Below are 27,666 nucleotides of genomic sequence, written 5' to 3'. Positions count from 1 at the left end.
ATACAAATTGCAGATATTAAAATGTGAATGGGAGCTGGGCATGGTGGCTCATGCCTGTAATCCCAGCACTTTGGGAGGCCAAGGCAGGCGGATGGCTTGAGCCCAGGAATTGGGGACCAGCCTGGGCAACATGGCGAAAACTTGTCTCTACAAAAAAATACAAAAATCAATTGAGCATGGAGGTTGAGGTTGCAGTGAGGCAAGATGGCACCACTGCAATCCAGCCTGAGCAACAGAGCAAGACCCTGTCTCAAAAAAAAAAAAAAAAAAAGTGAATCATCTAACAAAACACAGTAATTTTTGTTAATGAGGAAAAACATTTAATGCTGGCAAATAAGACTCCCACTCTCATACATTAGTCTTGAAATTTTGCACTACCTTTCTGGAAAGCCATTTGTTATCAGAATATTTAAATGTTACAGTTACAGCTTTCGGCTCTAAATTCTATTTATCTATCTCAATACATTTTTGATTCATTTCATTTTAGAGATAGGGTCTCACTATGTTGCCCAGGCTGGTCTCACACTCTTGGCATCAAGCAATCCTCCTACCTCAGCCTCCCGAAGTGCTGGGGTTTCAGGCTGAGCCACCATACACAGCAAAAAAAAAAATTGAGACATTGTTCTGTTCCCCAGCCAGGAATGTAGTGGCACAATCATAGCTCACTGCAGCCTCAAGCTCCTGGGCTCAATATCTCAATATATTTTCAAAAAGCGTATGTATAAGGAGACTAAAAGAAAAAAAAATGAAGATTATCTCGTTAATGGGAAATAGTGAATAATGGGATTGAATTTTTTTTTCTATATATTTAACAGTCAACAAGATTTCTTTTTTGGCGGGGGTTAATCCATCGCTGCAAGCATTTATCCTTTCTTTGTGTTACAAACAATCCAATTGTAGTATTTTAGCTATTTTTTTCTTGAGACAGGGTCTTACTCTGTGGCCCAGGCTGGAGTGTCGTGGCACAACCACAGCTCACTGCAGCCTCAACCTCCCCAGCTCAAGCCATCCTTCTGCCTCAGTCTCCCAAGCAGCTAGGACTACAGGTGCACACCATGGGCCTGGCCAATTTTTTGATTTTTTGTAGAGTTCTCACTATGTTGCCCAAGCTGGTCTCCAATTCTTAGGCTTCCCAAAGTGTTGGGATTGCAAACGTTAGCCAGTGTGCCAGGCCATCTTTCAGCTATTTATTTTTATTTTTTTGAGATGGAGTCTTGCTCTGTCACCAGGCTGGAGTGCAGTGGCACAATCTCAGCTCACTGCAATCTCCAACTCCCTGGTTCAAGTGATTCTCCTCCTGCCTCAGCCTCCCGAGTAGCTGGAATTAAAGGCATGTGCCACCATGCCCAGCTAGTTTTTCTATTTTTTAGTAGAGATGGGGTTTCACCATATTGGCCAGGATGGTCCCGATCTCCCGACCTCGTGATCCGCCTGCCTAGACCTCCCAAAGTGCTGGGATTACAGGCGTGAGCCACCACACCCGGCCTCAGCTATTTTTAAATGTTCAATAAATTATTGTTGACCGTACTCACCCAAGATTTCTGTATTATACAGCAATTCAATCTCAAGTCCATCTCATCACTGGCTGTAACTGTGGACAGTTCCTTAAATGTTTCCTCAAATATAAAATAGTTCCAACCGTATAGAGTGCTGTATACTGTGTCACCAAATGCATATTGTATAGGGTACTGTATTACACTACTATATACAGTATGTATTTAGAAACACAAAGTTTTTGACTATTTTTATTATATTCTGAAAGCGAACATCTTCAACTGGTAAATTACATGGTATATTAAATTATTTTCAAAAAAGATATTTTTATTTATATTATTATATGTATTTTTTGAGATGGTGTCTCACTCCCGTCATGCAGGCTGGAGAGCAGTGGCACGATCTCAGCTCACTGCAACCTCCACCACCTGGGTTCAAGCAATTCTCCTTCCTCAGCCTTCCCAGTAGCTAGGATTACAGGCATGCATGACCAAGCCTGGCTAAATTTTTTTTGCTGATTTTTATATTTTTAGTAGAGATGGGGTTTCACCATATTGGCCAGGCTGGTCTCGAACTCCTGACCTTGTGATCCGCCCACCTTGGCCTCCCAAAGTGCTGGGATTACAGGCGTAAGCCACCACGCCCGGCTAATTTTTGTATTTTTAGTAGAGATGGGGTTTCGCCATGTTGGCCAGGCTGGTCTGGAACTCCTGATCTCAGGTGATCCTTCTGCCTAAGCCTCCCAAAGTGATGGGATTACAGAAGTGAGCCACCGTGTGGGCCTCAGCCATACAACTTTGACAAAGTTCTTTGTGTGTCTTCCCAGTCAATAGTGGTTTCTCCTTTATTCCTGTTCCCACAGACGCAATTCTGATTTTTTTCCCCACCTAAATTTTCTTTTTCTGTCGCCCAGGCTAGAGTGCAGTGACACAATCTCGACTTACTGCAGCCTCCACCTCCTGGGTGCAAGCGATTCTCCTGCCTCAGCCTCCTGAGTAGCTGGGATTACAGGCCTCACCACTGCACCCGGCTAATTTTATGTATTTTCAGTGGAGACAGGGTTTCACCATGTTGGTTGGGCTGGTCTTGAACTCCTGGCCTCAAGTGATCTGCCCGCCTCAGCCTCCCAAAGTGCTGGGATTACAGGCGTGAGCCATCCCGCCTGGCCATATATTATTGTTATTTTAGATAGGGTCTCGCTATGTTGCCCAAGCTGGACTCAAGCAATATTCCTGAATAGCTGGGACTACATGCAAGCACCACAGCACCCTGCCAAAATAGCTAAAAAATACACCTTCCTGTAACAGCTCTGATAAATATCTTTTACTTCGTTTATTTTTCTTTTTTGAGATGCAGTCTCCCAGGCTGGAGTGCAGCGGCATGCTCTCGGCTCACTGCAACCTCCGCTTCATTGCAACCTCTGCCTCTGAGGTTCAGGCGATCCTCCCACCTCAGCGTCCCAAGTAGCTGGGATTGCAAGCCTGCACCAACATACCCAGCTAATTTTTTTTGTATTAGTAGAGACGGGTTTTATCACCTTGGCCAAGCTGGTCTTGAACTCCTGACCTCAAGTGATCCGCCCGCCTTGGACTCCTAAAGTGTTGGGATTACAGGCGTGAGCCACCGCACCCGGCCTCTTTTACTTCGCTTAAATGTCCAATTTTAGTAGTAAAATCCCGGAAAATGTTTTTAGGAGTATGTTTAACTGAAAAGCTCATATTTTCTTTCATTTTTGGGCAATTCTTAAGGTAAGCAAACTAATGTTGCATGATAAAGCCCCCATCAAGTATCTCATACTTAAGCAAAGACCTCAAATCATTGTGGCTTTATTGCAGCTTTCCTTCAAAATATCATCTGTGACTGAGGAAATCCCTATCTTCCTATCAGACTAATGAAACCACAGGACAGCAATTAGACTTTTAAGTATTGGGGGTTTAGAGCTCTAGATATTCGATATGCAGACTACTCATGTTTGTTTGTTTTAATAAAGACTGGTCCAAAGGCTCATTTTCACACAAGCTACAGTTTTTCAGTTCCAGGACCAGGTAAAGATGGTCAGCTCCGTGATCCATAAAATCCAAGGGTGACGACTCAGGATTAGGACCATTTCTTGGTGACATTGAGATGGTCGAGCTGGTCCGCAATGAATCTATGCGGGGGGAACTTGGAAGTGGCGGCCGCCTTTATGGCCTCGAAGGCCTCCCTCCTGCGCACCGCGGCGTGGCCGCGCTCCTGCTCCCGGGTCATGTAGGGCATGCTCAGCCAGTAATGGTTCTCCGCCTCGATCTCCAGGCGGCGGATCATGTTCTGCTTGGCGCGCAACGACACGAACCGCGGCCGCCGGTGCTTCCCGATCCACTGACGGCCGGGAATGCGGCCGCGCCAGAGGAGCGCAGTCAGGAACATGGTGCCTGCGGAAGAGAGGGACGGGCTTTGCGGAGGCGAACTGGCGCGGCCGGACCTGGAGAGAGCAGCGGGCGCGCGCTCCAGCTCACGCCTACGGGAGTTCCCGCACCGCCTCCCCTCCAGAGAAGCGGGGAGCCCAGGTAAGGCCAGCAGGCGAAGAAGGAGCTCCCTAGAGAACCGAATTCGCACAGCTACTCACCTGCCGCGCTGCTCAAGACTCTGCGTCTCCGCGGCCGCCAGCAGACGCCGTGGCGTAAGCGCACCCGTCTCGCGGGGTCTCCTGGGGCCTCGGCGAGAGACTTCGGCTCTCGCGAGAGAGGACTGCGCCTGCGCAGAGCCGAGGACGCGTCCGGCGCCGAGATTCAAACTAGTGGCGGGAGGCTGTGAGCTGAGCGGTGGGGTCTGCGTACGCCTGGAGTCCTTCCCCGCTGTGCTCAGCATGGACCCTATCCGGAGCTTCTGCGGGAAGCTGCGGTCTCTGGCCAGCACGCTGGACTGCGAGACGGCCCGGCTGCAGCGAGCGCTGGACGGAGAGGAAAGCGGTGCGTGAGGCGGGCGGCCAGGGCACGGTGCGTGGGGTGCGCCGCGGGCGGAGGGGCGTGGCGAGTGGACGGTATGTCCCACGGGAACCGCCAGGCACTGACGGCGTGGACGGCTGCCACCGAGGCGCAGGGCGGGTGCTGCGCGTCTCACTGCTCGGCGTTTGGCGTTAGCGTAGCTCCCGGGCCTGTTTATGGTTTATTCCTAGGAACCCTTGTCGCGTGTCCGTTTTAGACCCATGTACAACCCCACGGCTCTCTTGAGATAATGAAAGTAGCACTATTACGTTATAAACAGAGACAGCAGCACTTAAGAATAAGAACCTAAATTAACAGATTGAGCTCATAATACATATACTAATTTATACGTGATATGCTTTCGTCACATACAATATGTGTGCTTGTCAGTAAAATACCATGTAAACCTAAACAGTTTCTCTTAGAATCAAGCTATTTAACGTTCTTTACACAATACTTTACACATATAGTGACTTTTTTCTCACTCACGTGGTCCACAGTTGCAGTAAACCTCTGTGTTTTTCCCGCTAAACCATGTTGCCAACACAAACACTAGTACTCAACAGTGCTGGGGTTTAAAAAAATATGTGTATATAAATAAAGCAAAATTCACCATTCCCCTTTTTATTAGAGATTTTTTAAATTGTTGAAAAAGTAGTTCAGATTTTGGAATTATTTCATAAATGTCATAATTGTAATGTGCTTTAAAATATTACACCCTGCAGACTACTTTTACTTTAATTATATAATGAATGATCTCCAGTCACTTGAAAATGTCTATTTCTGCCCGGCGCGGTGGCTCACGCCTGTAATCCTAGCACTTTGGGAGGCTGAGGCGGGCGGATCACAAGGTCAGGAGATCGAGACCATTCTGGCTAACACGGTGAAACCCCGTCTCTACTAAAAATACAAAAAATTAGCCGGGCGTGGTGGCGGGCGCCGGTAGTCCCAGCTACTCGGGAGGCTGAGGTAGGAGAATGGCGTGAACCCGGGAGGCGGAACTTGCAGTGAGCCGAGATCCGCCACTGCACTCCAGCCTCGGCGACAGAGCAAGAGTCCGTCTCAAAAAGAAAAAAAGATTTGGCCGTGCACGGTGGCACACGCCTGTAATCCCAGCATTTTGGGAGGCCGAGGTGGGTGGATCGCCCGAGGTCAGGAGTTCAAGACCAGCCTGGCCAACGTGGTGAAACCTCGTCTCTACTAAAAATACAAAACAATTAGCTGGGCATAGTAGTGGGCGCCTGTAATCCCAGCTACTCGGAGGCTGAGGTGGGAGAATCGCTTGAACCCTGGAAGCGGAGGTTGCAGTGACCCGAGATCGCGCCACTGCACTCCAGCCTGAGCGATCTTAGACTCCATCTAAGAAAGAAAAAACTATCTTCAGATGGTCATCAGGAATGTGAAAAGACATCAATTTCATTAGTCATCAAGGAAATGCAAATTTCATTAGTCATCAAGGAAATGCAAATTAAATCTCAATGTAGTACAGTTGCATACCCAGCAGGATAGCTAAAACGAAAAAGAGAAAATTACCAAGTGTTTGGAAAGATGTGGAACAAATGCGCTTTTTGTTGTTGTTGTTGTTGTTGTTGGAGCAGTACGCACTTTTTTTTTCTTTTTTTAAAATTATTATACTTTTAAGTTCTAGGGTACATGTGCACAACGTGCAGGTTTCTTACATATGTATACATGCACCATGTTGGTGTGCTGTACCCATTATCTCGTCATTTACATTAGGTATATCTCCTAATGCTATCCCTCCCCCCTTCCCTCACCCCATGACAGGCCCAAGTGTGTGATGTTCCCCTTCCTGTGTCCAAGTGTTCTCATTGTTCAATTCCCACCTATGAGTGAGAACATGCGGTGTTTGGTTTTTTGTCCTTGCAATAGTTTGCTGAGAATGATGGTTTCCAGATTCATCCATGTCCCTACATAGGACATGAACTTATCCTTTTTTATGGCTGCACATGGTGTATATGTGTCACATTTTCTTAATCCAGTCTATCATTGATGGACATTTGGGTTGGTTCCAAGTCTTTGCTATTGTGAATAGTGCGGCAATAAACATAAGTGTGCATGTGTCTTTATAGCAGCATGATTTATAATCCTTTGGGTATATACCCAGTGATGGGATGGCTGGGTCAAATGGTATTTTTAGTTCTAGATCCTTGAGGAATTGCCACACTGTCTTCCACAATGGTTGAACTAGTTTACAGTCCTACCAACAGTGTAAAAGTGTTCCTATTTCTCCACATCCTCTCCAGCACCTGTTTTTTCCTGACTTTTTAATGATTGCCATTCTAACTGGTGTGAGATGGTATCTCATTGTGGTTTTGATTTGCATTTCTCTGATGGCCAGTGATGATGAGCAGGAACAAATGCACTTCTTATGCACTGCTGGTGGGAGTGTGAACTGTAAAAATCATGTTGGAAAACTAGCAGTATTTACTGAAGTTGAGCATATGCATAACATATAATCCAGCACTTTTTCTGAGTCTCTTAACATACAGAAATATGAATACGTTGGTACCAAAGACATGTTCTAGGAAGTTCAAAGCAAGAGTATTCATAATAATTCCAAACTAGGCACAATCCAAAGTGTTTCAACAATAGAATAAATAAATATGGTATCACGCAGTGGAAATGCTACACAATAATGAACATGGATTAGATTACGAACGTGGAAGAATGTAACAGTTGAGTGAAAGAAGCCAGTCGCAAAAGAGTACATATTGTTTGAGTCCATTAAATCAAGTTCATAAGTGACAAAACTACTTCATGGCGTTAGAAATCAGGGTAAGGTGGCTGGGTGCAGTGGCTCACGCCTATAATCCCAACACTTTGAGAGGCCGAGGCGGGTGGATCACTTGAGGTCAGGAGTTCAAGACCAGCCTCACCAACATGGTGAAACCCCCATCTCTATTAAAAATATAAAACTAGCCAGATGTAGTGGCGCACACCTGTAGTCCCAGCTACTTGGGAGACTGAGACAGGAGAATCGCTTGAATCCGGGAGGTGAAGGTTGCAGTGAGCCAAGATCGCACCATTGCACTCCAGCCTGGGCAACAAGAGCGAAACTCCATCTCAAAAAAAGAAAAAGAAATCAGGCTAAAGTTTACCCTTGTGGGGAAGGGAGAGACTATAAGAGGGCTTCTAGAGTTCTACTAAGGCTCTGTTTCTCCTTTTTCTTGAGCTGAGGGCCAGTTGTGCAGGTATGCTCATTTTATAAAGTTCATTAAACTATATACTTAGGATTTGTATGCTTTTCAGTATGTATGTTATACAGTCATGTTACTTAATGGGGATACATTCTGAGCAACGTTAGGCAATTTTGTTATTGTGCGAACATCATAGAGCATATGTAACACAAACGTAGATGATATGACCTACTGCATACCTAGGCTGTATGGTGTAGCCTGTCGCTCCTAGGCCACAAACCTGTATAGCATGCGACTGCATTGAATACTGTAAGCAACTGTAACATTATGGTAAGTATTTGTGTATCTAAACATAAAAAAGGTACGGTAAAAAATATGGTATTATCTTATGGTACCACTGTCATATGTGATCTGTGATTGACCAATGTCATTATAAGGTATATGATTGTATACTATTCTTTTTCTTCCTCCTTTTCCTTACATTTATTGGACTTCTTTTCTTTCAATATTCATATTGAAGACTTTGAAGATTATCCAATGAGAATTTTATATGACCTTCATTCAGAAGTTCAGACTCTAAAGGTATCACTCCTACAATATTGATTTATTATTTTTCTGTGGCGAGTAATTTTTTTATCCTAAATAGATTTAGTCAGAAGTTAGAGAAATTAAAATGTACTTTCTTTATTCATAAAAGGATGATGTTAATATTCTTCTTGATAAAGCAAGATTGGAAAATCAAGAAGGCATTGATTTCATAAAGGCAACAAAAGTACTAATGGAAAAAAATTCAATGGATATTATGAAAATAAGAGAGTATTTCCAGAAGTATGGATATAGTCCACGTGTCAAGAAAAATTCAGGTTTGAATAACTTCATTTTATAGCATTTGTTTTAGTATTGAAGAAACAAGGCAGCATGATTAAGACAACTGTAGCCTTGGCTATGGTTTTTAGTTCTAGCTCTGTTGTTATCTGACGCTTATTTGATAAATATTTAGTCAACTCTCACTGTGTGGTGTGCTTTTGGAGTGCTAATCAGGGGTGTAATATAAAAACAGTCCTTGTTCTCCTTTCCAAAATGCCAAATGAAAGCTAGCACAATGCTAGATTTAGCACATTTAGGCTAGATGGCCTATTTAAATGAAAAACTACAAGATAAATCTTCAAAACTTGGGATAGGTGGTTTCTAGTTAGCCCTGCCAATAAAAGCTGAGAGACCTCGAGGCATGTTATTTCATTTTTCTTGTTCACAGTGTTCTCTTCTATAGAAAGAGATATTGGCTATAAAATTTGACGAAGTCCTTTTTTGATTCTAAAATTTTAATGAAGGGCATTCTATCATAGTGGTTTAGAATTTGGAGTCAAAATGCCTGAGTTCAAATCCGTATTCCACCACTTAATAGCTGTATTATTATCTTTGTCAAGTTACTTAACCTTGTGCCTCAGTTTCTCATTTGTAAAGTGGGAATGTTTAGTATATCTATCTCATGAGATTGTATAAGGATTAAATAAGATAAAGTTGCTTACAGCAGTTCCTAGCATGTCAGTCACCCAAGATTAATTATTAACTGTTACTGTTATGCCCATACCTCTGAATGACTAACTTCAGTGTCTTCATTTCTTTTTTTTTTTTTTGAGATGGAGTCTCGCTCAGTCGTGCAGTGGCGCGATCTCGGCTCACTGCAAGCTCTACCTCCCGGGTTCAAGCCATTCTCCTGCCTCAGCCTCCTGAGTAGTTGGGACTACAGGGGCCCGCCACCACGCCCAGCTAATTTTTTTGTATTTTTATTAGAGACGGGGTTTCACTGTGTTACCCAGAATGGTCTCGATCTCCTGACCTCGTGATCCGCCTGTCTCGGCCTCCCAAAGTGCTGGGACTACAGGCGTGAGCCACAGCGCCTGGCCCAGTGTCTTCATTTCTGTTATTAAATTGAACAAGTATGTATTGAGGATGTGTGTGGCAGGTAAGTTAAACAGTCCATGTGAGACGGGCACAGTGGCTCATGCCTGTTACCCCAGCAGTGTGGGAGATTGAGGCAGGAGGATCACTTGAGGCCAGGGCTACATAATGAGACTCTGTCTCTACAAAAAATTCTTTTACAAAATTAGCTGGGCATGGTGGTGCACACTTGGAGTCACAGCTATTCAGGAGGCTGAGGCAGAAGGGATCCCTTAAGCCCACGAGTTCAAGGCCACAGTGAGCTACTATCACGCCACTGCACTCCAACCTGCATGACATAGCAAGACCCTGTCTCAATAAATAAAATACATACATACATACATACATACAAACAACCCATACCACCACCACCACCCCCCACGTGGAATCATAGAATTCAGTTGACTTTGGTGTGAAAGAGCCACAGATTCAAATACGGGCTCCACCAGTTATTACATGCGTGACCTTGGGTAATTTCTCTAAGTTGCTTTTTCCTCACTTATAAGATGGGGATAATAATATCTCCCTATGGAGTAGTGATAATGATGATTTATTAATCTCTGAAATGACAGCACTGTGATAAATACATCAGTAGGTTTTTGGAACTCTTGTAGCAAGAACTTTCTGTTCTCAAAAGTAACAGAAAGCATAATGCCAAAAACAACTCAGTGACTCAGAAGCTCTTCAAAGGAACAAAAACTATGAAATCAAAATATAAAACTTTAGAGATTTAAACTCAAGACTTTTAAAACAAAACAAACAAACAAGAAAGTATATAACCGGCCAGGCACGGTGGCTCATGCCTGTAATCCCAGCACTTTGGGAGGCCAAGGCGGGCAGATCACCTGAGGTCAGGAGTTCGAGACCAGCCTAGCCAACATGGTGAGACCCTGTCTCTACTAAAAATACGAAAATTAGCTGGGTGTGGTGGCGTGTGCCTGTAATCCCAGCTACTCATTAGGCTCATACAAGAGAATTGTTTGAACCCAGGAGACGGAGGTTGCCGTGAGCTGAGATTGCACCACCACACTCTAGCCTGGGTGACAGAGCAAGACTCCATCTCAAAAAAAAAAAAAAAAAAGTATATAACCTATTAATGGTTGAGAAACTGTATATCTTTGAAGTGCTCTCCTATTATTTTTCTCAACTAGGTGTTTTATATAGGTGTTCCAGACTAAGGATACAAACTTATCTTTATATAGCAGTCTTTGCTATTTAGCTGAGGCATCTGGAAGTTACGAATCTAAAATAATATCATACTCTGTGTTAAATCTGGAACACAGTTGATTCCATACTGTCATGAAATTTTAAAATACAGTTTCAGGCCAGGTGCAGTGGCTCACGCCTGTAATCCCAACACTTTGGGAGGCTGAGGCAGGTGGATCACTTGAGCCCAGGAGTTCAAGACCAGCCTGGGCAACATGGCGAAACCCTATCTCTACAAAAAGTACAAAAAATTATCTGGGCATGGTGGCACATGTCTGTAGTACCAGCTGCCTGGGAGGCTGAGGTAGGAGAATCACCTGAGCCCAGTGTTGTGGGTGTGACTAGCTGGGGCTAGTGTCTCAGGTGGTAAAGGAATTTACCAAGACAGTTGTAGGTAGAGAAAGGCAGATTTATTAGCGAAAGTATGAAAATACATTGCAAGGTTGCAATGGGCAGTACAGCAGAGAAGGGGCTGTCTGCAAAGAGGCAGAGGCTGAAGGGAAGTTTTATAGGGTCATGCTGGAGGCGGGCTAGGTACAGAACAAGGTTGTTGTGACCAGGCATGGTGGCTCACATGGGTAATCCCAGCACGCTGGGAGGCCGAGGTGGGCAGATCACTTGAGCTCAGGAGTTCTAGACCTGTCTAGGCAACATGGTGAAACCCTGTCTCTACCAAAAATACAAAAAATTAGCTGGGCATGGTGGTGCGTGCCTATAGTCCCAGCTTTGGAGGTTGAGGCTGCAGTGAGCCGAGATTGCCACTGCACTCCAGCCTGGGGGACAAAGTGAGACCCTGACTCAAAAAATAAAAATAAAAAAAAAAAGGAACAAAGTTGTTGTGCCTGCAGGTTGTTTGTGATTAGCCTTTTCTCAGAACAGTTGTTCATTGTTCGCCCCAACCTGGGGCCTTCCCCCATTGTTGCCTACTTATCTGTGATTGTGCCACTGCACTCCAGCCTGGGCAACAGTCAAAGCTACAGAAAATATATTCTGATGCTCACTGAAGTCTGAGAAAGAAAAAAAAAAAAGAAAGAAAAAATATTATGAAAAACTAGTAAATCACATTAAGGATGTAAGAAAATTGGACTTTTATTTGTGAATATTAATTTTTCATCTTATAACACTTTTAACTTGCTTTCCTTCTCTAATGTATAATCACAATGAGATATGGGTGCACAAGAGATACATGTCAGAACTTTATTAAAGGGACAATTGAAATAACATTTCAGCTGAGTGTGGTGGCTCATGCCTGAAATCCCATCACTTTGGGGGGCCAAGGCAGGAGGATCATTTGAGCCCAGGAGTTTGACACCAGCCTGGGCAACATGATGAGACCCCACTCTACAAAAAAAAATTTTTAAAATTAGCTGAGCATGGTGGCACACCTGTAGTCCCAGCTACCCCAGGGGCTGAGATGGGACGATCACTTGAGCCCAGGAGGTCGAGGCTGCAGTGAGCTGTGATCACACCTCTGTACTCCAGCCTGGGTGGCAGAGCGAGACCCTGTCTCAATAAATACTAAATAAATAAAATGTTTAGACAATTGGAACTTTTGCTGATTTGGGAAATTTCAGATAAGCTGTTTTCTGTTGTTTTTGTAAACGTGAAATTTTCCATTTTGAGTTTGACCAGAATATTCTGATTTTTCCTCCTAGTACACGAGCAAGAAGCCATTAACTCTGACCCAGAGTTGTCTAATTGTGAAAATTTTCAGAAGACTGATGTGAAAGATGATCTGTCTGATCCTCCTGTTGCAAGCAGTTGTATTTCTGAGAAGTCTCCACGTAGTCCACAACTTTCAGATTTTGGACTTGAGCGGTACATCGTATCCCAAGTTCTACCAAACCCTCCACAGGCAGTGAACAACTATAAGGAAGAGCCCGTAATTGTAACCCCACCTACCAAACAATCACTAGTAAAAGTACTAAAAACTCCAAAATGTGCACTAAAAATGGATGATTTTGAGTGTGTAACTCCTAAATTAGAACACTTTGGTATCTCTGAATATACTATGTGTTTAAATGAAGATTACACAATGGGACTTAAAAATGCGAGGAATAATAAAAGGTAAGCAGCTCTGTTAAAAGGCATATTTTATCTAGCTTTCTAAACCTTTTGTATTTATTGATTTTTTTTCCAGAAGAAATAAAATGTTTCAGACATTTTTGCTTTAAAAAGTTTTCAGATATTTATTTATTTATTTTATTTCAATAGGTTTTAGGGGAACAGATGGTGTTTGGTTACATCAATAAGTTTTTTTTTGGTTTTTTTTTTTGTTTTTTTTTTTCGAGACGGAGGCTTGCTCTGTCACCCAGGCTGGAGTGCAGTGGTGCGATCTCAGCTCACTGCAAACTCCGCCTCCTGGGTTCACGCCATTCTCCTGCCTCACCCTCCCGAGTAGCTGGGAATACAGGCGCCAGCCACCACGCCTGGCTAATTTTTTTGTATTTTTAGTACAGACGGGGTTTCACCATGTTAGCCAGGATGGTCCTGATCTCCTGACCTCATGATCCGCCCGCCTGGGCCTCCCAAAGTGCTGGGATTACAGGCGTGAGCCACCGCGCCCGGCCAATAAGTTCTTTAGTGGTAAGGTTTTCAGATACTTTATATTAGAGATCTTCTCAAATCACCAATACTATCAATAAAGTGTGAGCTGTCAGTTTCTTCAGGTGAGAGACTATAGAAGTGATAAGGGCCTGAAAAAAAGATATTTGTAGGGATAGAAGAGGAAATAAGATTAAAGGGGTAAAATTAGTAAGAACTTGTGATTGATTTGCTATGGAGACATGGGAAAAGGGGATGATCTAGGATAAACCCCAAGTTTCTGTTTTGTTGCTTGGGATGATGTTAGAACAAGAAAAGAATACCTGGAGTATGGGGGGATAGGTGATGTGTTTACATGTTGGTTTTGACATTGTTAGTGCCTCTTCATGCTTAGGCATTCTAATATCAGTTTAAAGCTCAGTGAAGAATTCAGTGCTAAACTAGATTTGGGAGTCATTAGCATGGAAATGGTGATTAAAACCGTAAGAGTTACAATGAAAATACCACTTATCAAAGTAGCCAAGCAATGTCTATAGATAAATACTTATCATTAAAAACTGTTACTATTAAAGAAGGATAACAAACATTCCTGTCAAAGAAAAAAACCCCACAACTCTGGGGAAAAAAACACTAAAGATAAAATTTTAATCCAAAAGATTTTTAAAAGAGTAGAATTGATAAACCTAAGAACTGGTCCTTATCTAAACATAAATACAAATAAGAGCATTAAGAACTAAGGACTATATTGTGTGTTTTGTTTGTTTGTTTTGTTTTGTTTTTCAGATGGTCTTGTTCTATCCCCCAGGCTGGAGTGCAATGGCTCGATCTCAGCTCACTGCAACCTCCACCACTGGGTTCAAGTGATTCTCGTGCCTCAGCCACCTAAGTAGCTGGAATTGCAGGCACACACCACTACATTTGGCTAATTTTTGTATTTTTAGTAGAGACAGGGTTTCACCATGGTGGCCAGGCTGGTCTTGAACTCCTGGCCTCAAGTGATCCACCTGCCTCGGCCTCCCAAAGTGCTGGGTTTACAGGCGTGAGCCACTGTGCCTGGCCTATGTTTTTATTTTTCTAAGCTATCAGAAAATATCGTAGGTTATAGTATTGGGAAATTTGAAAATTTCAGATATATTAAAGTTTTAGAAAATAATACAAAATGATAAAAATTGACTTGAAGTAGAAAACCTGGGTAGACCAGTAATCAGAGAAGAAAACTGAAAAGTTATCAGATAACAGGCCAGGCACAGTGGATCGCTTGACATTAGGAGTTCAAGACCAGCCTGGCCAACAGGATGAAACCCTCTCTACTAAAAATATGAAAAACTAGCTGGGTTTGGTGGAGGGCGCCTATAATCCCAGCTACTTGGAAGGCTGAAGCAGGAGAATTGCTTGAACCCAGGAGGCAGAGGTTGCAGTAAGCTGAGATCACGCCACTGCACTCCAGCCTAGATAACAAGAGCAAAACTCTCCAAAAAAAAAAAAGTTATCAGATAACAAGCTCCAAAAAGCTCTGAGCATAGATGGTGTTCTGGAGGAATCCTTTCTAATGTTATGTCATGTCATGTTATTGTTTTGAGACAAGGTCTTGCTCTGTTCCCAGGCTGGAGTGCACTGGGGCAATCTCAGCTCACTGCAACCTCTGCCTCCTGAGTTTAAGTGATTCTCGAGCCTCAGCCACCTGAGTAGCTGGGACTGCAGGCATGAGCCACCACGCCTGGCTAATTTTTCTATTTTTAGTAGAGATGGGGTTTTGCCACGTTGCCCAGACTGCTCTTGAACTCCTGGGCTCAAGTAATCCACCTGTCTCAGCCTCCCAGAGTGCTGGGATTACAGGTGTGAGCTACCACGCCCAGCCTAACATCATTCTTGATGTTCTGGCCAGTGTAATGAGATAGGAAATAAGAAATATTTCTGTGTTGCACTTCTAGGCCATTTTGTACCTAGGCAACTCAAGAAAATCACATGAAAAACGTATAGAAATAATAAAATTCAAGTAAGAGGCTGAAAGAAGATATATATTTTATATAGTTACACAGGGCAACTATTTCTTTCTTTATGTATTTATTTATTTATTTATTTATTTTTAGAGACAGGTTCTTAGTCTGTCACCCAGGTTGGAGTGCAGAGGCATCATCATAGCTCACTGCAGCTTCGACTTCCTAGACTCAAGCAGTCCTCCTGCCTCAGCTTCCCAAGGAGTAGGTGGGACTACAGGTGTGGACCACCATGCCTGCCTAATTTTTTTTTTTTTTTAACTTTCTGTAAAGACAGGGTCTCACTGTGTTACCCAGGCTAGTCTCTAAGTCCTGGCCTCAAGTGATCCTGAAGGTATTTTTGAAGTAAAGATGATTCAGTAAGTTATACTGGAACAATTAGTTAACTGGAAAAAAAATCAAGTCATCTCTGCCTCAAGTCAACATAAAATATAGATAGATCAAAAAGATAAATATTTAGATAAATTATTTAAAAAATAAAAGAAAATATAGATAAGTTATCTGTTTAAACAGTGAAAGCGTATACTGCAATTACCATTATGTTTGTAATTGCAAGAAACTTGTAAATTAATTGACATGATTAGACATCTTAACGATATTTGTTTATTCTATTCAGAAATATGGAAGGGAACATGAGTCAGGCATGGTGATTCATGCCTTAGTTCCACCTGCTTGGGAGGCTGAGCTGGGAGAATCACATGAACCCAGGAGTTTGAAACCAGCCTGCGCAACATAGCTAGATCCCGCCTCTAAAAAAATAAAAATAAAATAAATAGACTGGAACATGAAGCATATAAAGGGCAAAAAATAAACCAAGAAAATAATTGCACTGAGGGCTGTTACACACATACTAATAAGAAACCACTAACACCAAAAGCAGCCTAGGCAATGGACAGGAATAGATACGACTAATAAATATTTTAAAAACAGTTTTGTCTATCAAAATAGTACAAAGCATATTTGTTTTAACTGTTAGAAGAGTACAATGAAACGTGTGTTCATATATCATTGTCAGGAATGTATCATGGAAAGAGTTGATTCTTAACTGTTTAAAACCTTTTACCTAGGTAAATGACTATTTTACCTCTACGAAAACTTAACAAACATTTTGGCACAGTGGTGTTTATTACAGCCTTATTTTAAATGGGGAGAATTGGAAAGAACCAAAATAACTAACAGGAGAAAGTAGATAAATTATGGCATGACATCAAAGCTAGAAATCATACTAAAGAATATGGATAGATTTAATCACATACAAACTTTAAACCACTGTATCATAAAATATTTGACCAATGACGAAGCAGGAAAAGTGTTATAACATGATAAATATATGTGCATATATATGTTATATAGATACATAACAGGTTTTAAAAACCCATATGCAGTAATTAGTGAAAGACAGACATCCCAATTTTTAAAACAAGCAAAGACATGAATTAACAAAAGAAGAGGCCGGGCGTGGTGGCTCATGCCTGTAATCCAAACACTTTGGGAGGCCAAGGTGGGTGGATCACTTGAGGTCAGGAGTTCGAGACCAGCCTAGCCAACATGGTGAAACCCTGGCTCTACTAAAAATACACAAATTAGCCGGGCGTGGTGACGGGCGCCTGTAGTCCCAGCTACTCGTTAGGCTCATAGAGAAGAATTGTTTGAACCCAGGAGATGGAGGTTGCAGTGAGCTGAGATCGTGCCACTGCACTCCAGCTTAGGTGACACAATGAGACTCCATCTCAAAACAAAAAAACCCCAGAAGAAATACAATTGACCAATAAGCATATGAACACTTTTAGCCTTGCAGGTAATGAAGGAAATTCAAATAAAAAAATGAGATGTCATTTTTCAACTATCCAGATGCATATTTGGCTAAAACATATCCAGATGTTTTTATTTCCAAGTTTTAACTAGGCTTATTAATGTTAAGAGAGAGAATACCAAAAAAGACAGGTTATATTCAGTGTTGATAAGACATAAGAAAATGCTTTTATAATGCTGGTGGCCACTGGTGAATCTTTCTTAGGGAAAATTGTCAGTGTATATAAAAGCCTTTATGAAATTTTACTTAAATGAACAAATTCAAGGAAAACAAAGTGTGCATATAGTGTTATATATATAACACTATTATTTCATTTATAGTTCAAAAGTTCAAAAGCACAAAAATTATATTAAGAGTACACAAGTAGTTAAAGTACCAAGCAAATCTAGACAGAAATTTCCCTCTGTAGGGCAGAGATGGGTACCAAGTTGGGAAGCTTCCATAGAGGACTACACAGGTACTAGTAGTATTCTTTCTTTCTTTCTTTCTTTCTTTTTATTTTTAGAGACAGGGTCTCACTGTCATATTTTGGTTCTTTCCAATTTTCCCCTATTATAAATAAGCTGTGATAAATACTACTGTGCCAAAATGTTTGTTGAGTTTTCTTAGAGGTAAAATGACTGGGTAAAAGGTTTTAGACATTTACAAATCAACTCTTTCCATGAAACATTCCCACCACCCAGGCTAGAGTGCAGTGGCAGGATGATAGCTCACTGCAGCTATGAACTGGGTTCGAGTGGTTCTTCCACCTCAGCCTGCTGCGTAGCTGAGGCTACAGGTATGTGCCGCAACTCCCAGCTAATTTTATTTTTTTTTATTTTTTGTAGAGATGGGGTCTTGCTATGTTGCGCAGCCTGATCTCCAACTCATAGCCTGAAGAGATCCTCCCACTTTGGCCCTGCAACAGGCATAAGCCACTATGCCCAGCCCTTTTATTTTTAGAACTTTTGTACAACATATATATTCTTTTGTATATGTGCCATACTGTATACACACTTTTAAAAAAATGTTTTACACAATGACCAGGTGTAGTGGCTCACACCTGTAATCCACACCTGTAATCCCAGCACTTTGGGAGGTCAAGGTGGGTGGATCACCTGAGGTCAGGAGTTCGAGACCAGCCTGGCCAACATGGTGAAACCCTGTCTCTACCAAAAAAATACAAACATTAGCCAGGCGCAGTGGTGTATGCCTGTAGTCCCAGCTACTCGGGAGGCTTAGGTGGGAGAATCACTTGAACCTGGGAGGTGGAGGTTGCAATGAGCCGAGATAGCACCACTGCACTTCAGCCTGGTGGCAGAGCAAGACCATGTCTCAGAAAAAAAAAAAAAATGTTTACACAAGATGTTAAAGACAGCATGGGTCATTATGTTTAAATTCAAAACTGGAAACTTGTAAGTGAAAATCAATCCTGAACTATCTTGTATTCAGTGATATTCTCTTTATAACTATTTTACAGACATCTGTGTAACTGGCTAGGACAATGATAATCATATGACAGGATCAGTCATTTTAGTCTTAAAAAAATGGCAAGTTTTTAATCTATATGTGTACACTGGTTATAAAATTCCACTTTAGGATTTTGAAGTCCCAGGAGTTACATAGTTCCCTTTTTGAACTAATAAGTTGAACTTAGTGGTCCTTAACCTTTTTGTACCATGGATATATATTAGAAAAAAGAAAAGAATTTGTTTCATGGGACTTCTGTACCATAAAGCATAACTGAATGTTTGTCCAAACTTGATATTTAGTAAGGTTAAATTTTTTTCCCAGAGATTGAATGTTAACTTTTTTAACCTTGTAATTTCCCTATGAATCACACCAGTGAGGAGGCCATAGATACAGAATCCAGGCTCAATGATAATGTTTTTGCCACTCCCAGCCCCATCATCCAGCAGTTGGAAAAAAGTGGTAAGTATAAGAATCAAGTTACTTCTCAGGAACATTTTTCCCAAACTATCTTTGAACAAAATTGATTTCATCATCTTAGACATTCTAATAGTTTTCTTCATCTGTTTAATTCCTAACATTGGATTACATTAAGTACCATTTCATTCAGCATGATTTTGTCCAAGAGAAAGAAAATTTTCTGGTATGTTTTTAATACTCTTGATTATGTTCAATATCTGTCAGCTTGTTATTAACATTTTAATTTGAAACTTACATATTCACCAATATTTTGATGTAGAGCCTTAGTACTTTTTCTTTTAACCTATTGATTAGAGTTGTACATTATCTTATATAAACCACGCACGGAATACATCAGCTGCCAATTTAAATTTTGGTTTCTTTTAAATAGCTCAGTAACTTAAAGAAAATTTTCATACAGTGTTTTCATATTTGTCCCAGCAAACATGAAAACATTGGTGTTCATGAAAAAGCAAGATAAAAAAATCCTAGAGTTTTATGATTTTTTTGTTTTGTTTTCTTTGAGACAGGGTCTCACTCTGTTGCCCAGACTGGAGTGTAGTGGCACGATCTTGGCTCACTGCAGCCTCAACTTCCCAGGCTCAAGCAATCCTCTCAAGTATCCGAGACTATAGGCACACACCACGACGTCCAGCTAATTTTTGTATTTTTTGTATAGATGGGGTTTCGCCATGTTGCCCAGGCTGGTCACAACTGTAGACAACTCATTGCAACCTCCGCCTCTTGGGCTCAACCAGTCCTCCCACCTCAGCCCCCACGTAGCAGGGACTACAGGCTTACACCACCATGCCCAGCTAATGTTTGTATTTTTTTGGTAGAGGGGTTTCACCATGTTGCCAATGCTGGCCTCAAACTCCTGGACTCAAGCGATCTGCCCACCTTGGCCTCCCAAAGCACTTCATCCTTTTTAATTGATAAATAGTATTCTACTGTATATATGAGCCATATTCATTTGCTGATTAGGAGGTAGTGTTTTCATTTTTTATTATTATAGGCAGTGCCTTAAGGAAATTTTCCCTTGTGCATATGCGTGTTTCTCATATCTAGGAGTAGAATTGCCAGGTCAAAGGGCATGCACATTTTTACTTATTCTAGAAAATGCTGAATAGTCAGCTAAGAGTAGCTGTTAAGATTTATCTTCTCACTAGTGGTATTGAGTTCCTGTTTCTCCGTCTTTTCCAGTACTTGATGATTTTTAGACTTCAGATATTTTGCCAGTCAGATTGTTTTTCTAACATATTTACCTTTTCTCTTTGTTGTTTTTTAAGGTTGCCTCGATGATACTATGTGTTCTAGATAGCAATTGTCTATATATGCATGGGTCTCTCTTGTCTATATATGCATGGGTCTCTCTTGTTCTTATCTTTAATTTTTCCATCCCTGGTTAATGTTACACTGTTTTTAACTACTGTACCTTTGGAGTAAGTCCTGCCATCTTGGAAGACAAGTGACCTGTTCTCCGTCTTCCTCCTCCTTTGTCAGAAGTTTGATAATTTTCTTCATAAAGGTTTTACACCATTTTTAATAGATATATTTGTAGGTATCTTGTCTTTCTTGCTACTGTGAAAAGTATCTTTTTTCAAATTATATGTGTAATAGTTTGTTGCTTTTATGTTTAATATATATTACAACACAACTATTTGTTATTGTGTATTACTCTTGCATCCTTGCTGAATTTTAGTAGTGCTAATGATAATTACATATGTAAATATGAGATTTTCTTCCTGTCCAGTTAAGCATACTATAGTTATAGTTTTTTAATGACCATTTTATGTGTCTTTTAGATGCCGAATATACCAACTCTCCTTTGGTACCTACATTCTGTACTCCTGGTTTGAAAATTCCATCTACAAAGAACAGCATAGCTTTGGTAACTTTCCATAAAATTGAAAGCCACAGTCTTTCTCCTAAAGACTCAAATACACTACTGCTTGCAGGCTCAAAGAGTCTGTTTAGAAGACATGGATGAATCCAGCTTTTAGGGATGTATTTACAGTGCATTTCTGGAGGGTAGCTTGGCAGCATAAATCAATTGCTCTAAAAAATATTTTTCATACCTTTAAACCATATCTCTGAATTTTTTCTAAGGCAAATTGGGACAAAGATTTAAACAAGTTATAGAGTAAGGAACAGCATTATTTATAAGCACAAAACATGGGAAACAGTATAAATATCGAATGATATCAAAGAACTAAAACACAGCAAGGCATATCCATAAGATCAGGTGTTACATATACTATCATGTTTTGAAAAACAGATGAGAGCATATAAAAAGAATGTTTTCAAGAAATATTAATCATATGGAAAATGATGTGTGTGTATGTACACACACACATATATATACACATATTTTAAGGAAAAAGTGGATAGAAACAGCAGTGTAGTTATCTCTGGGTGATAAATTATGGGTGATTTTGTGCTTTTTTCCCCTAAATTTTACCAACAAATAAATTTAATCAGATTTCATCAAATCAAAACCTTATCCCTCTTTAGTCAGTATGGTCACTTAACCAATGCTATAGAAAACCAATACTGTATTAGGGTATCCAATAGAATTTTCTATAATGATGGAAATGTTTTATAGTCTGCACTGTCCAATATGGTAGCCTCTAATCACGTTATTGAGCACTGAAAATGTGGCTAGTATATCTGAAGAACTAATATTTACTTCTTTAAATTTTATTTAATTTTAATTAGCTTAAAATTTAAAGAGCCCCATGTGGCTGTGGCTACTATATTGGACAGTGCAGCTATGGATGAACACAGGGCTGTGTTATCAGTTGAAGTATCAGGTTATCTGCCTGTTAGTACCTGCCATTTACAATTCATCTACTCCTTATGTTCACGTGGAAGGTACCCTACTGAGGTGACACTCTATCGTCTCTCTCTCTTAACTCTGACCTGAGAGAGATGAAGCGACTTACCCAATTGGCTGATTTAGCATGAATAATCTGCATACTAAACTTACCTCTGATCTGCTTTCTTCCTTTTGGGAGTGCATGTGGTAACATTTGTTCATGCTGTGATTTTCGTCTGACTACACTCACTGTTGCCTGAGATGGGGTGGGAGTATCCATCTAAATCTTTGGTTCATTCTATATAGTTATGACATTAAGCGTTTTTTTGGTTTTTGTTTTGTTTTGTTTTGTTTGTGACGGAGTCTCACTCTGTCACCCAGGCTGGAGTGCAGTGGCGCGATCTTGGCTCACTGCAACCTCCGCCTCTGGGTTCAAGCAATTCTCCTGCCTCAGTCTCCTGAGTAGCTGGGATTACAGGCAGGCGCCACCACACCTGGCTAATTTTTTGTATTTTTAGTAGAGATGGGGTTTCACCATGTTGGCGAAGCTGGTCTCAAACTCCTGACCTCATGATCGGCCCACCTCGGCCTCCCAAAGTGCTGGGATTACAGGCATGAGCCACCACACCTTGCTGACATTAAGCTTTAACTCAGCCTTTATTAGTAATGAGATGATATTTTGTCCTCTGTATGCCATTTGTTCTTGATTTTGTTTAGAACTTGGTCAGAGAAGATGGGGCATATGGGAGCCTATTAGAGACCCCAATAGAAGTAACAAATGATTAACTATTTTTATTTACTACATTATGTTATATTACCATAATTTAATGGTCTATTTTTATTCAATAGGTATCCACAAATTACCCATTATCAAAAACAAATAGTTCATCAAATGATTTGGAAGTTGAAGATCGTACTTCGTTGGTTTTAAATTCAGACACATGCTTTGAGAATTTAACAGATCCCTCTTCACCTACGATTTCTTCTTATGAGAATCTGCTCAGAACACCTACACCTCCGGAAGTAACTAAAATTCCAGAAGATATTCTCCAGGTTATTTTTCCAGGCTATTTTTTTTTTTTTTTGCTGATATTCTTTTCAATATGAAATATTTAAAGACCTGAAACTGCATATAAACTGTCTTATTTATCATTGGGCTAGTGTGCTAATTTTGGTGATGAGAGAATCTAAATTCTGAGCTGTCAGGACCTTATTTTCTAATTCTTGTTCAACTGTGGTTTCCATGTCGATCATGGTTCCATTAGAAGTGTTGCTGGCAAAGTCAGAAAAGTCATTTACCCTACAATTTCCCAGAGCCAGGGTATCATGAATAACATACCAGTGTTTCTTGAACTTGAAACTTCTTGGACCTCAGTTTAAGAAACACTGATTGATGTATGTTAGAATATAGTCATGTGCTGCATAACATTTTGGTCAATGATGGACTGCATATGCCACAGCAGTCATAAGATTATGATACTGTATTTTTACTGTACATTTTCTGTGTTTAGATACACAAGTGCTTATCACTGTGTAGCAAGTGCCTGCACTATTCAGGACAGTTACATGCTGTACAGGTTTGTAGCCTAGGAGCAATAGTCTATACCATATAGCCTAGGTGTGTGGTAGGGTATACCATCTAGGTTTGTGTAAGTACTGTGATGTTCACACATGATGAAATCACCTAATGCATTTCTCAGAATGTATCCCTATTGTTAAGTGATGCCTGACTGTATCTGATTCTTTAGTATTTAACAGCAGTTACCATTGGCCTACTAATGACTTATAACAACTGCCAATTCTAAATAACCAGTCTGATTCTTTGACAGTCCCCCTCCTTAATAGGAGTTACAGTGTTTGGCAATTATTACTTACACGTGTGGAATTCTTTTTTTTTGTTTTTTTTTTGAGACGGAGTCTCGCTCTGTCGCCCAGGTCGGACTGCGGACTGCAGTGGCGCAATCTCGGCTCACTGCAAGCTCCGCTTCCCGGGTTCACGCCATTCTCCTGCCTCAGCCTCCCGAGTAGCTGGGACTACAGGCGCCCGCCACCGCGCCCGGCTAATTTTTTGTATTTTTAGTAGAGACAGGGTTTCACCTTGTTAGCCAGGATGGTCTCGATCTCCTGACCTCATGATCCACCCGCCTCGGCCTCCCAAAGTGCTGGGATTACAGGCGTGAGCCACCGCGCCCGGCCCACGTGTGGAATTCTTAATAGCCATTCTAGAAGTCTTCCTGACTTATGGAGACCCATGAGAAGGATAAATCACTTCGGAAAATACTCAGATGCCATTAGAACTGACTCATGCTAGGATATCAATAAAGTACTTGTTATCCTTTTTTCTCTGTCTTTTCTGCTTTTCTGGAAGATATAATAAATTGCATGAAGAAGGAGCATCTTCTGTCTTTATGAAAATTATATAGTTTCCACTTCCCTATGGTTGCTTCATCTCTCCTTATTTCTTTGTAAAAGGAAGGAAGCCTTATATTTACTATATCACCCCTTTATGCATGAAAAAATTATAGCTGATACTTCATGTTCTCCTTTCATAATTTTTATAATTGATGACCTTCCTTTTGAGCATTCGTTTTACATCTTTCCTTTGTGTATTTTCCCTAACATCTTTGTTAAGGCTTAATTTCCTCTCAGGGATATATTGCTACTTGTTTTCACTAACCTCAGTCAGAATACATTTTAAGCTTTAAAAATCAGTCCTTCACATCCAAGTTAAATTTCTAATATCTCCATCTTTTCATTGCAGTTAGCATGTCTTTTTTTTTTTTTTTTTTAGACCAAGTCTCGCTCTGTCTCCTAGGCTGGAGTGCAGTGACATGATCTCAGCTCACTGCAACCTCCGCCTCTGGGGTTCAAGTAATTCTTGGGCCTCAGCCTCCTGAGTAGCTGGGATTACAGGTGTGTGCCACCACTCCTAGCTAGTTTTTGTATGTTTAGTAGAGACGAGGTTTTACCTGTTGTCCAGCCTGGTCTCAAACTCCTGACCTCAAGTGATCCACCTGCCTTGGCCTCCCAAAGTGCTGGAACTGCAGGCGTGAGCCACCATGCCCGCCCCATAGCTTTTATTGAACATTTTGTAACTTCTTCCAAATTTAGGTTATATTATTCATATGGCTCGATAAAAAGGAATTTCCTTTTTTTTTTTTAGCTTTTATCAAAATACAACTCAAACCTAGCTACTCCAATAGCAATTAAAGCAGTGCCACCCAGTAAAAGGTTCCTTAAACATGGACAGAACATCCGAGATGTCAGCAACAAAGAAAACTGGTGAGTATGTTACCTTTGTAAAGAAAGTTCATGTGTTATTTGAGGAGGACATTTAAAAATTAACATTTGACCATCCTGACCAACATGGTGAAACCTCGTCTCTACTAAAAATACAAAAATTAGCCAGGTGTGGTGGTGCACACCTGTAGTCCCAGCTACTCAGGAGGCTGAGGCAGGAGAATCGCTTGAATCTGGGAGGCGGAGGTTGCAGTGAGCCAAGATCATGCCACTGCACTCCAGCCTGGCAACAGAGCGAGACTCCATCTAAAAAAAAAAAAAAAAAATTAACATTTGAATATTGGTAAAAATTTTGTTTTTAATTGACATTTGCCAGCTTAAGTTAATAGCCTGTCTCTATCTTTTGATATAGAACTTGTGATCCCTGAATCTCAGATTCCCGAATTATCCAGTTTAATGATATCAGTGGGAATCTATCCTCAATTATTTTATAAGTGTAAAATATATAGCCACAGTATTGTGTCATTTGTCTTAATGGCTTTTAATTTTATTAAATTGATATTTGTTATTTGTATCTGTTGCAGAAATTCCAGTGGATCTATCCAACACAGAAACTGAACAAAATGAGATGAAAGCCGAGCTGGACCGATTTTAACATTCACATTGCCCTGCCTCTGTCCCCCTTTAAACGTTGACCCATTTTAAAGACAAACATGAACATTAACATCATAATATGCTTTTTATGAAGTTTCAATAAGGTTTAACCTTAGTCTTGTTGACATGTAGCCCAGTCATTCACTCTTTAAGGATTATTAGTGTTTCATTGATACTAAATTACCCAGCTTAATCAACAGAATGGTTTAAGTAGTACCAGGAAGTAGGACAAGTAATTTCAAAAATATAAAGGTGTTTGCTACTCAGATGAGGCCGCCCCTGACCTTCTGGCCAGAGAGACATTGCTGCCAGCCAGCTCTGCCTTCCCATCATCTCCTTTCAGGACCGTCCCACACCTTTTACTTGCTCAGTGCTGTCTGAAGATGCAGTTGCTGTTTGCAAACAACAGGAACACCAGTTAAACTAATTAGGAAAAGAGGGAGATTTCCAGGCCTGGGTAACTATATACTGTGACCATTGGAGGTAGAGACAGGTCTCAACAGTTGGAACCAGGAACTCTGCTGTCAGGTTGAGAGTTTTGTTTCTCTTCCAGCTTTTCACTGTGTGGGGGTCTTTTCTCTTATGTCAGCTCTTTCTATCACATGGCAGCTGACCTCTCACGCTCCACTCTGCAGCTTGGACACCCAGTAGACCCTGAATTTCACTCTCTCTAAAAGGTTCTGAGGGCTCATCCTGGGCCAGGGGCCCTCCTGTGCACTGTTAGCTATGGCCACGGGAGCCTCCAGAGCTGCCTGGTAGCTTCAGGTTGACCTGCTTATCAGGCCTACGATCCTTCTGATTTAAGTACAGCTGGAAAGTATTATCTAATTAAGTTCATGATAGTGCTTTTGGAGAACTTGTCAAATTACAGCCAATGAGAAAATAAGGACCTAGCATACTGTGGAGAACCATTAAAAATTTGAGAAGAAACAACAAGTATTATGTCAACTTACTTCAAAGGCGTAGTTTTGGGAATTTGATGCAGTAAAGATTACCCTGTTTTATGATTGTTCCTTGAAAGTCAAATGGGGGACCTGTCCATTGTGCTCTATTAATCTTGTCAGAAAACTGTCACCAAAACAAAACTTGAGTTTGTCCTTGTTCTAGGAGTTACTGGGTAGTTGTAAGTATTATTTTTATTAAATATAATGTAAAATAAAATGTTAAGATACTTAGTTTTGTTTTTCAAAGTAAAGCTGTAGTCAGCCTTATGTATGCCATTGACTCTGAAATGTATACCAGCCTTTCACTGTGTACCGTGTGTATATAAATCCACAGAACCGGATGAGCTGCTTAGGGAGGGAATATATTCAAAGTGTACCAAGGACCAAATCCTGGAGTTCTCCCAACTTTAGAGGATGGAAAGGGGCAGAGTAATCTAGCAAAGGAGACTGAGGCCAGTGAAGTAGGAAGAAAGTATTTCAAGGAGAGTGATGATTCTGTGAATATTGCTGAGAATTCAAATAAAAAGAGGACTGAGAACTGACTGTTGGGTTTGGCAAAGTCGATGTTATTGACAACATTGATTAATTTTGATGGAGTGCTGGTACTAGAAGTCTGTAGTGGATGGAAGAGAAAACAGCTGAGGAGGTAAAACAGTGGCTTTAGACAGCTCTTGAGGAGTTTTGCTAAAGAAGGGAGGCGAGAGAAGGTGTAGTAGCTAGAAGAGGTTATGTAGTGAAGAGGTTTTTTAAAGATGAGTGTATTAGTCTGTTCTCACGCTGCTAATAAAGACATACCCAAGACTGGGTAATTTATAAAGGAAAGAGGTTTAATGGACTCACAGTTCCACATGGCTGGGGAGGCCTCACAATCATGGCAGAAGGCAGAGGGGGAAGAAAGACACGTCTTACATGGTGGCAGGCAAGAGGGTATGTGCAGGGAAACTCCCCTTTATAAAACCATCAGATCTCGTGAGACTTATTCACTA

The 27,666-nt window shown here is 41.0% G+C and overlaps 2 protein-coding genes across 6 annotated transcripts, besides 3 other annotated features; one reads left to right on the top strand and one right to left on the bottom strand.

The window, feature by feature from the left end:
• Positions 1-1,732: 1,732 nt before the first annotated feature.
• MRPL57 (mitochondrial ribosomal protein L57) lies at positions 1,733-4,159 on the bottom strand. Of its 2 annotated transcripts, none has more exons than NM_024026.5 (2): positions 4,100-4,159; positions 1,733-3,905 (listed from the first exon to the last, which is right to left on the bottom strand). In NM_024026.5, the coding sequence occupies exon 2, from the start codon at positions 3,898-3,900 to the stop codon at positions 3,592-3,594; it is 309 nt and encodes a 102-aa protein (NP_076931.1). In that variant the 5' UTR covers positions 3,901-3,905; positions 4,100-4,159; the 3' UTR covers positions 1,733-3,591. The 2 variants fall into 2 exon arrangements, with proteins under 2 accessions (NP_076931.1, XP_016876229.1); XM_017020740.3 differs by having other exon boundaries at positions 3,305-3,955.
• Positions 3,690-4,009: an enhancer, noted in NCBI's record as "active region_7433". NCBI's record gives its function as "activates an Ori minimal core promoter by ATAC-STARR-seq in GM12878 lymphoblastoid cells {active_cell/tissue: GM12878}" and the evidence as "EXISTENCE:reporter gene assay evidence [ECO:0000049][PMID:35858748]".
• Positions 4,025-4,747: an enhancer, noted in NCBI's record as "NANOG-H3K27ac-H3K4me1 hESC enhancer chr13:21750209-21750931 (GRCh37/hg19 assembly coordinates)". NCBI's record gives its function as "activates a minimal SCP1, AML or CMV promoter by ChIP-STARR-seq in naive H9 embryonic stem cells {active_cell/tissue: H9 hESC(naive)}" and the evidence as "EXISTENCE:reporter gene assay evidence [ECO:0000049][PMID:30033119]".
• Positions 4,265-27,222, top strand: SKA3 (spindle and kinetochore associated complex subunit 3). 4 transcript variants are annotated; one of them, NM_145061.6, is made up of 9 exons: positions 4,265-4,442; positions 8,136-8,197; positions 8,313-8,478; positions 12,418-12,829; positions 18,942-19,027; positions 20,830-20,915; positions 22,692-22,895; positions 25,006-25,124; positions 25,667-27,222. In NM_145061.6, coding segments are annotated over exons 1-9 (1,239 nt in total). In that variant the 5' UTR covers positions 4,265-4,339; the 3' UTR covers positions 25,668-27,222. The 4 variants fall into 4 exon arrangements, with proteins under 4 accessions (NP_659498.4, XP_005266345.1, NP_001159489.1 ...); XM_011534994.3 differs by having other exon boundaries at positions 4,439-4,469; XM_005266288.5 differs by lacking the exon at positions 8,136-8,197.
• Positions 5,470-6,192: an enhancer, noted in NCBI's record as "OCT4-NANOG-H3K27ac-H3K4me1 hESC enhancer chr13:21748764-21749486 (GRCh37/hg19 assembly coordinates)". NCBI's record gives its function as "activates a minimal SCP1, AML or CMV promoter by ChIP-STARR-seq in naive H9 embryonic stem cells {active_cell/tissue: H9 hESC(naive)}" and the evidence as "EXISTENCE:reporter gene assay evidence [ECO:0000049][PMID:30033119]".
• Positions 27,223-27,666: the final 444 nt, after the last annotated feature.

Source organism: Homo sapiens, chromosome 13, assembly GCF_000001405.40.
Source record: "Homo sapiens chromosome 13, GRCh38.p14 Primary Assembly".
NCBI lineage: Eukaryota > Metazoa > Chordata > Mammalia > Primates > Hominidae > Homo > Homo sapiens.
Note: the sequence above shows the minus strand (reverse complement) of the source record. Positions and strands in the feature narration are given on the sequence as shown.

What these genes read in the sequence shown, in the direction of transcription:
- MRPL57 (NM_024026.5), bottom strand. Translation starts at nt 3,900, where the DNA reads ATGTTCCTGACTGCGCTCCTCTGGCGCGGCCGCATTCCCGGCCGTCAG.
- SKA3 (NM_145061.6), top strand. Translation starts at nt 4,340, where the DNA reads ATGGACCCTATCCGGAGCTTCTGCGGGAAGCTGCGGTCTCTGGCCAGC. An exon ending in CCAGCAGTTGGAAAAAAGTG is followed by an intron (nt 19,028 to 20,829) that starts GTAAGTATAAGA and finishes TGTGTCTTTTAG; the next exon opens with ATGCCGAATATACCAACTCT. An exon ending in CAAAGAACAGCATAGCTTTG is followed by an intron (nt 20,916 to 22,691) that starts GTAACTTTCCAT and finishes TTTATTCAATAG; the next exon opens with GTATCCACAAATTACCCATT.